The sequence below is a fragment of the Homo sapiens genome, chromosome 7 (assembly GCF_000001405.40).
Source record: "Homo sapiens chromosome 7, GRCh38.p14 Primary Assembly".
Classification (NCBI taxonomy): Eukaryota; Metazoa; Chordata; class Mammalia; order Primates; family Hominidae; genus Homo; species Homo sapiens.
In genome coordinates, this window is record NC_000007.14 from 141696774 (window position 1) to 141708062 (window position 11289).

Genomic DNA, 11289 nt, shown 5'->3' on the forward strand with positions numbered 1-11289 from the left:
TCCCACAGGTGGAAACCTCCAAAGAGTATTTGGTTCAGACCCTAACATCAGAAAAGTAAATAACCCAGGTGAGTTGACTTTGGGTCTTACATGGTTTGAAACAGTCTTAAAACCACCTAGTCTGAGAGCACATCCAAAGCAAAGAGAAAAGCATCAGGATAAAGAATCCTGAGTCAGGAAGAAGCTAATCCTGCTGATTTAAAGTCAGCTATATGCCAATCCATGGCTGAATTCCAATGCATTCACTTTACAAAGAAAGACCTTCCATTTCACAGATCCCATATCATTCTCCACTGGGTGGTAGTGTGGTGTGGATAAGGGGTGCAGGTAGACTTGGGCTCTGGCCCTAACTTTAGACAACTTAATGGCTCTGTGCACCTGTTTTTCTCATGATGATGGTGTAGTCTGTTGGGAGGATCAGAGGCAGGTCACTGAAACATGTGGCACAGTCCTTGGCACACAGCAGGCACTCAGGAGGTGGTGGGTATTACAATTACCATTTTTATTTTCCCCTCCTCAATTTTCAAGAGAAGAAACTGACTTCACAGCAGATGGCTACAAACTGATTTCTCCCTGAAAACCACAAGCAGGTGAATCACCAACAGCCTGGGAAAGATTCTACCCGGGTGGGATTAAGCAAATGAACCACAATTGTATTCCACTGGCATTAGGTGGAAATACAGGGGAAGGATGGCGACATGACAGAGTTTCTCTTCCTGCGAGACGTTCTGGCCGGATATCAGAACAGGCTTTTTCTTTGCCTGCATTTGAGCTGTCCATGCTTACGACTGCTCTTTGCATCTTAAAATTGTCCTCCAAATTTTCCATTCACATTCTACTTTGTCACTTTCCCACCCATTGCTAGAGCCATTTATTATTTGCCACGAGTCAGATGACCTGGGCAGCGCTCCAAGTGGTGCCTCAGACACCAGACCTAGCCCTATTCTCACTGGGCCTCCATCATCTCCATTGTTTAAAAAAAAAATGCTTATGTTTCATAGACTATACAGGGAATCTACAGAGATTAAAATTAGTGTGTGTGATTTTAAATGTACTCATGTGACATAAACATAGAAGCGCTCGGATACATTAAATTAAATAGGTGTTTAGATGTAATCTGGGCACTGGCTAGAGGCTGAGGAACAGGTAGAAATTCATTCCCAAGAAGAAAGGGAGAAACATCTTGAAAACCTCAGCAGGTGATCTGCCTCTCACCTTACCCCTCCTCTTGCAAGCTGCCCCAGTACAAACACAGGGAGCACAGGAATTTCTCCCAGACACCCACAATAAAACTCTAAACGCAGCAGTGTAAAGTGAATCTCTTATAAAGAAACAGTCTAATGAGGCAGATGCAAAGATGTCCAGACATTGTATGTTCAAAGCTTCATCGGCCTCCATCCTGCCCACACACAAGTCCTCAGCCACACGGTGATACCGCTCTTGCCACCATCTGGGGGCAGGGGTGCTCCCCAAGTGTGACAATATCCTCTCCTTTAATTAAGCAGACTAAGAACATTTTACTAGAAGCCCAAATAATGAAGTAAAATTAAAATCAAGGCTCTAAATCATGGGGTTGAACAAAATGAAACAGCAATATTCTGGCTTCCAACATCTTCCACCCAGCTTGCAGAGTTAGCATCTGGGTCTGGTTTCAATAGCAGCTTTGTGGCCCAGATGATCAGCACCACCATCCTAGGGCCCCCTGCTCCAGATGAGGACTGAGTGTATGTGTAAGCCTCACTTTGAACCTGAAGCCCCTAGTTCTTAAGTCACCTGTAGACTCAGCAACCATAATTTTCAATCCATGAGTCTGATGGAAATAAGCTTTAAGACTCTTTCTCTGATTCTTCCCACAGATGGCCAGCCTAGCTTTCCAAAACTTGTATCTAAAAGTGCAAAAGGATTACTCTTATTTCCACACCTTAGAGAATCACTGCATATATTCCTGCTCAAACACACACACACACACCCTTTCTAACAAGGATCCACCCCTCCTTTTCCCTCTTACTCTACTACCTAATGAATGTACAGCTATGAATTCTCTTCTTCCTCTTTCACTCTCCCTCTCTCTCAGGCACACACACTGATTTGGACACATGCCAACAGTTACCCACATTACATGGGAAGATGCACATAATGCCATGGCCTGGGCAGTAAGTGATGGGGGTGGCGGAGGGTTGAGGTGGGTGTGGGGTGGGGGGAGGAAGGATCTCCTAGGAGTGGAAACTGAGGACACAGGTGGGAGAGACATGGGGAAGTGGCTAAGCAGGCAGGCCAGCGAGAGAAACTAAACAGCAGACAAATCACACCTATGTAAGAACTTCTAAAATATGCTCTAATTTTGGTAAAGAAGTCAATATTCACTTTATCGCTTTTGGCAACACAGGCGAAGGAGGGGCAAAAGTCTGGGTGGGCCAATATTAAATAGGAACAAATAGCAGATCTGCCTCAGCAGTAAAGGGGGGAAGATGCTGGGCCAGTGATGGTCCAGCTCACTGTGCCACTATGGGCCTCACTCCACCGGAACCATCACACAAGGGGTACATCAGGCACTCTCTGAGGGCCCTGTCCTAGTGCTAACCTTGAGGCCCTCAGAAGCTCAGTAGCATTCATTCACTACATCTCCTACTTTTAAGATATATATAAAATAAAATTATATGGTACAAGGTCTATCAGAGTATTTTTACAGGAAGCAAAGTGCCATTTAGGACTAGGATAGATGACAAAAGAGACAAACACATTTATGGTCAGTAAAGGACTGCTTTCCCCCCACAAAAAAACACAAAAAAAACACAAGTTACAAGTGCTCCCTCTCACACTGCGCTCTCTCTTCCTCCCTCCTTTCTCCTCCATCCCTGGATAAGTAAGGATCAGGTGCCAGGGAGCAGGGGTTCAGGCAGCATAGTATACTAGAAAGACAATGGGACTTACAGTCAAGTATTTATTGGCTACTTAATATTCCCAAATTACCTAACCATCCCTGGTATGTTCCCTCATTTACAAATTGGGTATAAATGATCATCAAATTACAGAGCAGTGATCAGAATAAATCAAACAGCATTATAGTAAAATGCCTGCACAAAATGTCTAAATGTGTTACAATCCCTTCTTTGCACAGTAGCCTTAGTCTGAAAACCATCACTCACACACACACACACACACACACACACTCCGTATACACAAATTCACAAAGCCATGCTCACTGCCTGTGACTGACAAGGAATGGGGGCAGGTACTAGCCCTCTGGCGCTTTTATCAATTGATAGATATCAATTGGCCAATATCAATAATTGATCAATTATCAGTATTATCCACCCTATCTGTCTGTAATTAGTATAAAACTTCTTTTCTCTTTCCCTTCCCTAAGACTCTACCACTGGAGCTACCAATACTAAATCAGACCGTGTGAATGTGCCCTTTCTATTCCTTCTAGTTACTCTGAAATATTTCCCAGGATAAGTCAAATGCTGGTAGCTGTTTACCTGTAAATGATGGGGTACAGTATAAGCAATATGATTAGTTACAAAGTATTGGTTTTTGTCTAGCATTACGGGTAACTTTGGTCAAAAAAGACCAATACTTTTCAAACTACTGGTATCTAGGAATCTCAAATGCGAGTCAACCAGCATGTGTGATGAACACTTAAAAAAAAGAGAAAAGAGCCACTGCATTCCAGCCTAGGCGACAGAGTGAGACACTGTCTGAAAAAAAAAAAAAAGAGAGAGAAAAAAGAATGCATTACATGTAGAAGGAGTCAGCACTACTTCATGAAATGTCTATTTCAGTTACATAAGTACTGTACGTGTATGTGAGCATATTGGTTGTGATGTAAAATTAACTTCACATGATAGATCAGTCAAAAGAGTTTGAAAGCCATGGAATGTGGCAAAGAAACAAGCAGAAGTCACAAAGGCCTGAATTGTCCCCACAAACTCTGTCCCTGCAAATGGAGCTCCACAGTGAATCCCACATTCTTCCTGTGTCCTACAGCTGAGAACCCCAAAATTACCGGCCTGGAACCCATCATCAGCTGCCATACCAGATTCCCCTTCTCCAGATCCTAACCCCTTTTTTTCTCCACTCCATCCCACCTCATCCCAGAAAGCAGCCAATATTTTCCCGCACGAACAGGCACTCCACACTCCAGCAGCTGCCCTGGAGACATTGACAGTCACACCTGGGTTTCCTTAAGCCCTGACACCACGACTCCTGCGATGACACCTCCTTCCCCCAACCCCGAACAGCAGAGCCACTCTCAGAGTCAGAAGTCCCTAGCTGACCCTCCAAGGCTTCCTGGGCGCGCAGGGTCGTTCTTCCACCTTCTGTCCCCCGTGGACTCTCACCTGGAAAACGCACACCCCCCTGCCGGGTGGTTAGGCTAAGATTATGTGGGATAAGACTTTAATTCTCCAAGCATCTCCGAAAGACAGCCTATCCGGGGAGGCTTCTCCTTTAATCAGCCTTCAGCTGAATCCCTCAGCCCCATCCCTTAATGCTCCCGGCGTTAATTCCTCAAAATAATGCAGTCAGAGAAAGTGAACTTGGCCGCTAGGAAAGTTACCCCAGAGGAAGCGACGGGGAGCTAGGGCGAGCGGGGAGCGGGGGACGGGGTGGGGGGCGAGCGGGGAGCGGGGGACGGGGTGGGGGGCGAGCGGGGAGCGGGGGACGGGATGGGGGGCGAGCGGGGAGCTCAGGGCGCTCGCCCGGGGGGTTTCCTCCGCACAACGTGAAAAATCTTCTAGCCCCCAAGAAAAGAAAACAAAACCCAACGTGGCCACAAACCGGATGCCCTGTCACTGAAGTGCGAACACCACTGTGGGGCTGGGACTCAGAGGAGAGGAGGGGAGGGGAGAGGAGGTCGGCGGGGCTGGAACAAAGCCCTCGGGGCCGCTCCGAGAGGCCGCGCGCCAGCACCCAGCTGCGCCCCGAGGGAGAGAGCTGAGGACTGGCCGACCCCCGCCCTTCCCCAAGCCCGGGAGCCCGGGGCCGGCCCTGGTGCGGGGTGCGGGGCCGGGAGGGCAGGTGCGCGCGCAGCGAGCCCCTCCCCCGCGCCCCCAAAGCTCGGGGGCACCCCGACCCTCCCCACGCGCCTGGCCCCGGCGCGGCCCTCACCCGAGCGGGGGTCGAAGGTGACCACGAACACGGCCACCACCTGGTCCTCCTCCACGTCGCCCAGCTCCAGGCGCCCGGGCTGCAGCAGCACCTCCGGGGCGGCCGGCTCCTCGGGCTCCCGCCTCCGGGGCGGCTCCGCGGCCGGCCGGGCGCCCCCGCCGCCGCCCCGGCCCCAGCCTCCCGCCTGCGGCTGCGGGGCCTGCGGCAGGGAGACGGCGGGGCCCTCGGCCCAGCGCAGCAGCGGCGCCGCGTCTCCCTGCTCCACCATGGCTAGGCGAGGCGGAGCCGCGGGCGCGAGGGGCGGGGCGGGCGGGCTGCGGGAACCCCCCTCGCCTGGCCGCGCCAACGCCGCCGCCGCCCGCCGGGTCTGGCGCTGCCCGGGGCCCCGCCGCGGAGGCGCCTTTCCCACGGAGCCAGAGCAGGCGTCCGCGGAGCCGGCTTCGGGAACCGCGAGCCTATTCGGAGGCGCCCGTGTGCACGTCCGTGTGTGGGACGCGTGCGGCCGGAACGTTCATCCTTGCGTCCATACACCTGTGTGCGGGTGGAGGTGCCTTCTCACCTAGGGTTCCGTGGTATAGCTACCACTGTGAGTTTTTATGTCACCATTATTTTTTAAAGTCCGCTGGTCCTGTGGACCGTGACAGATATGTATTACATAATCCTGGATGTGTGGCAGAAGCTGCTTCTAAGCAGAGGAGTGAAGCAGAGGTGCTCTGGCTACCCAGGTGTTTGCAATATACTCATCAATAAACACTGAAAAGGCCATAGGGTTAAAGTTTGGGAATTTTGTTCTTCCTTTTATATTACAAACTGATTAGGATGGAGATTATGAGTTTATTTCCTGGTATATATACAACTTGAGGGTATTAAATTAGGAGGTGCTGGAGCATTTGTGGGACGAGGGATATTCCCTCAGAAGATCAGGAAAAGGAAGTTGCTCAGGGGAGAAAGAGGAAAGTCAGCTCTAAAGCTGATGGCTTTGGAAATGGATTAGGGGTTTTCTGTGAACCCCCATTTTATATTTAAAAATAAATTTTACATGCCTCAATCCTTGAGGTAAATCTAGCAGCTAAGTAACTCTTTAAGAGGAGATGTGTATAAAAATAGGAATAGCTATTAAAATAGAAAGAAGGAGGTGGCAAGAGAAGGAGGTACACAGTTCATCCAGGGTTCAGCAAGGCTCCATGGTTTGCCTGTTCGCAAAAGGACCCAGTAGAGCTATGTGCTGGGTGCTACTCCACGGGATGTTTATGAACCTCCGTGTCCTACACGTCAGCACTGCAATGATAATGTGATTTAACCCCTATCCCTAAGAAGATAATCAATGACTGCCCTAGGCTGCCACTTCTAATCTAAAATCTATGATATAACAATAAAGAATGTACTTATGCAGCATTTTACCCCCAAGAACAGGGTCTACTTTCATTATTTACATATTTAGTTCAGCCTTTCCTGAAAGGTAAAACTTCAGCATAGGAATCTCTTGATTGGATCAGAAGGATGAAGAAGTAGCTGTGGATGTTTGACCAAGTTACTGATGACCTCCAGAGCTCATCCCTTGGAGCACTGACAGCAAATAAGTCAAGACGGAGCACAGTAGAGATCCATCTCTGAGAATGTCTCCTCCATACCTGCTCATTTCTTCCCAGTGAGGCACTGTGTGTGTGTGTGTGTGTGTGTGTATGTATGTATGTGATGTGGGAGAGGCAGAAACAGACATACACACATACATACACACACAGAGACAGACAGAGAGAGAGAGAGATCTTATTTCTGTGGCCGGGGGCGGTGGGGCTGGCCTTGGTGCAGGTCACACAGGTGACCCATTACCTGTTCTAATCTTAGGGACTCCGGGAATGACCACAGCCCAACTGTGACTAACAGAGAAAAGGTCAGACTAGTGGGTCTGTACCATCGTTTTAAAATGTCTGCTCCTTAAAGTATCGGTAGGATATCATCAATCTCTAAATTACTGGGACATCAAATCAGAGATCTATTCCTATTCTAAGTATGCTATGTGTTGTGTGTGTAGACAAGTGGTATGTTTCTACTGTCACAGCTATTTTGATGAATAATCTCTAGTTCTAGCAAATGGGAAACTTTGGCAAGAGAAGCAATTTGTTAAAATCTGTTTGATTTATTCATCAGATAGATTTATAGTAGATTTCAAATTAATAGAATAACCTAGGGGTTTTTATTAATGGCACTAAAGTATCCATGGGTAAAATATGTTGTCACTGATTTGCTTCACAATACCCCAGCACTCACCCTCAATGAAGTTGCAGTTATGAACTAAACAAGACTGTAAAGCCATACATAATTTTTGAAGCTAGGTTATGGATACATAAGGACTCATTATAGTATTTTCTCTATTTTTGGTATGTTTGAACATTTCCATGAGAAAAAGTTAAACAAAAAGGAGGAAAGGGTTAATAACAGACTCCTAGGCTTTAAAGCAGCCTCCAGGCTTTATTTACTTAGCCCGTAATCCTTCCTTGGAATTCTGTTGTGCCGGCAGTGCCACCCATGAGATACAATTTTATGAGCACTTTGAAATGAGAAATGTGATGGGCAAATATCAAGTATTGTTAATGATTTATGTAATTATCATTGGATTCATCGCAGCTGACAAGTGGCTGCTTCTGTACACTCTCTCAGCAGGCAGGGAGGAGATTAGAAGAAGGTCCCCCTTCAAGGTTGCTGGCTTTGCTGACCATCCTTGTCATAGGAACAGAGCTGTGAGGAGTCAGGAGCACTGGAGACCCCTAGTTTCAATGGATTCACATCCACCGCAGCGGCCCCAATCTGGACCTGGTCAGTGTTGCCGCTGCTGATGGATTTGTCCAGGGAGCAGGAGAACATACACTGGTGATTAAAATAATGTTTTCTCTAAGTTACTGCAAACTTTCTCCTGTGTAGTTGAGGCAACACTTCCAGTTGTGGTGAGAGATTGAACAAAAGAAAAAGCATACAATGTTAAAGCTGGCAGGACCTTAAAGACACTGCCTAGCCCTCTCACTCAGCAGTGAGTCGTAGATGATTCCTCCAGATCTTGACGAGGCCCACAGGCCCTTGTTTAAGAACGTCGCTTGCTGCTTTGCTGCTTCTATGGGGCACATTCTGGTGATAAAGGCCAGCTGTTTTTCTCCACCAGCATGGAGTTCTCTCAACTTTGTTTCTGGTTTTTAGAGTCCCTGGCCAATTGTCTGGAGACCCAGAGAGCCACTGTTAGTCTAAGGTCGCTTCATAAATAAGGGTAATCCCGGTCCTGGATTCTGCCAGACTCCTAGAAAGACTGACAGTGAAAGTGTCATTTCTTGCTTGGGAAACCATACTTCACAATGGTTTTCAATAGGGCAGACCCATTAAATACATAAGAATCCAACAACACTCTTTTTTCAGAGTCGGAATGACTCAGTTCTAATTCAGTCTTAAATAAATAATGTGCTGGACCTTTACTTAGGCCTGTTTAAGTGTTTTTTACAATTCTCTCTCCTGACTTGGGGGACAATTAGGCCAGCATGTTCTTCCTTGGAGCGACAAACTCTCAAATAGCTCATTTTCCATGGCCTTAGCTTTACTTTGACAAAGGAACAGTCTAACCAGGAAGGTGAATAAAAGTTTCCACGTCTTGCAAATTTGAATAGATAGATTTTCCTGCTTCTGTTCTTCCCATCAACATTTCATAGGCCTCAGAACCAAGTCTGGTCAGAGTGGAGTCTAGGTGCTTCCTTATCACTCAGCAGTGTGTCTGCAAGGGGAGAACTTCCCTCAAGCACACAGTTGAGGGAACTCAGCCCTGAGATGCAAGGCTGCCCGCTTCTTGCACATCTTACTCCTGGGAACTTCGCTTTCCCCCTGTGCAGCAACTCCTGACACATTAAGAAAAAAATTCAAATTTTTTTTAAAAAGTCAAATATGGAGTATTTTAAACATGATTGAAATATATTAATTTATTTCCCCAAATTCATCCAAAAACAATTTATTGAACACCTACTATATGTTAGGCATTAAGGGGGAAACCCTCCCCTTTTCCTCTTATTGCCACAGATTACATGGGTCCCCCTTTTGACACATCATCTCAACTATCACCTGAAGCTTTATGCTGGGATGGATGCCTGTGGGATTAACATATACTGAAGCAGAGATGAAATTTTTCATAATGGAAAGAGGCTAAAAATGAAGAAAAGGCTACAATGTGACCAAAAAAATAGTGAGGCCATGGGCCAGAGGCCATAGGTAGCACCTCTAGGGATTCCCTTGGGTCATCCAGATCAGCAACTATGCAATTCTTATTATTTAGTTGTCCAAATTTGGGATATCTTTTTTGTACTCATTGTTACACCTTTCTTATTCTGAAGACTTAGCCACAATCATTATCTTCTGAGTAACAATACATGAAAAGGTGAATGGTGCAAGTTTCTAACAGTATTACTGCCGATAACATAAGACCTCAACCATTGCAATGGCATAGCTGCCTCCCTAGGCAAACAATGTAGTCATAAATAAGGGTAATCAAGAATTATAGCAAGGGAGAGAGAAAAAGCAGCAGGTGATAGAAAAAAAAAAAGAAAACCTGGTCTACTTGGGTAATACCTAATAAACCAGCCCCTGTGCCCTGTCTACAGGACAATAATATAGCCAGTGTTTTGAGTCAGTCCTGTTTTACTGAGAGCAAAGCCAGCCTCTAGCTGCCTGGAGAGGCAGGAATGACAAGCCATGGCATGTGAGGGGAAATTCATCAACACCAAGGCTATAGAAAAGAAATCTATCATCTGGCTTGCTGATTTGTAAACAAGACACTCCTAGGCTGAGAATCCCAGTTGATAATAATTGCATTACTGGTAACCTATGAGTTCTCCTTTTTCTTTGATGATTCTGTTTTTACTGGCCCCTGTAGGATACTGAATCTCTGACAAAGGTGGGCAGTGAGTTACTGCATTTTGTGAGCAATATTTTACCCCCTGTTGAATTATCTGGGATAGTTTGTGTGGGTGGGAGGCTGTAGGGAAGGGCCAAGGAAGGATGAATTGGTGTGCCCACCTACAAAGGGCTGGAGCATGAGAAGGCTTTGAGCTGAAAAAACACTTTGAAGTCTCCCCAGTTAGTTTTCATTTGGATTACCCTCCTCAGGAGTTCTGGCTGGGAATGGGGAAGGAATTAGGAGAAAGTGGTGGAGAGATCTGTGAAAAGAGGGAAATGGAAGAGGGGTGACAGGTAGCAAAGACTATAAAGAGAAGGGAAATAACATTTGTTTCAAACTCATCAAGCTGGCCTTGGTTCCTGTCTCTCTTTGGGCCCATGTTTATCATGTAAATAATTCCCTATTTGCAGTCCCTCTGAAGCCTCCTTGAGGGGCATGAGTGTATCATTTTCCTTTTTCATGGACTGCCTCTCACATAGTTTTCTTCTATAATGTGATATCAGTGAGGCCTTTTTCCTTTGATATACCTATACATTGTGTAATGATTACCAAAAATTTACCACACCCATATGCACCCATGCTGTACATCAGGTCCCCAGAATTGTTCATCTTATACCTGAAAGTGTGTACCCTTTGATCAGCATCTCCCCATTTCCCCTGCCTTTCCAGATCCTGGTAACCACCATTCTACTCCCTCCCTCTAGGAGATCAACTGTTTTTGATTCCACATATAAGTAAGATCATGTAGTATCTGTCTTTCTGTGCCTGGCTTATTTCACTTAATATCCCCCTGGTTCATCCATGTTATCACAAATGGCAGCCTTTCCTTTTTTATGACTGAGTAATATTCTATTGTGTGTGTGTGTGTGTGTGTGTGTGTGTGTGTGTGTGTATTCACCACATTTTCTTTATTCATCTGTCCATGGCTATTTAGGTGGTTTCCATATCTTGGCTGTTGAGGATAATGCTGCAATGAATATGGGTGTGTTGGTATTTTTTTGAGATAGTGATTTTATTTCCTTTGGCTATATAACTGGAAGAGAAGAGGGACAGCTTGATTGTATAATAGTTGTTTTTTTCTTCAAAGAGTTTTCCATCCTTCTCATAGGGGCTTCTCTGAGAAAGAAATTAAATAATGTGTACTAAAGATATTAAAAAGCATTTTACAATATAAGGCATTTTTGGCAGAAGCCATTGCTGTTTTCCAGTGATCAATATCTGTTTCTATGGTTTGTTGATCTTTCTAGCCTTTC

At 46.1% G+C, this 11289-nt stretch overlaps 1 protein-coding gene and 1 long non-coding RNA gene across 4 annotated transcripts in view; both read right to left on the reverse strand.

Annotated features, from left to right (window-relative positions):
- Positions 1–5393, reverse strand: part of DENND11 (DENN domain containing 11) — a 45439-nt gene extending 40046 nt beyond the window's left edge. Inside the window, exon 1 of the mRNA NM_001080392.2 lies at positions 5113–5393. Coding sequence (NP_001073861.1) covers positions 5113–5380 — 268 coding nt within the window. The 5' untranslated portion in view covers positions 5381–5393. The remainder of the gene's footprint in view (positions 1–5112) is intronic.
- A 1836-nt stretch (positions 5394–7229) lies between these two features.
- WEE2-AS1 (WEE2 antisense RNA 1) overlaps positions 7230–11289 on the reverse strand; it is a 34228-nt gene continuing 30168 nt past the window's right edge. For 2 of the 3 annotated variants that reach the window (NR_199841.1, NR_199840.1), the window contains one exon: positions 7230–8984. This is a non-coding gene — a long non-coding RNA (WEE2 antisense RNA 1). The remainder of the gene's footprint in view (positions 8985–11289) is intronic. The other variant, NR_015392.1, reaches the window with a different exon arrangement.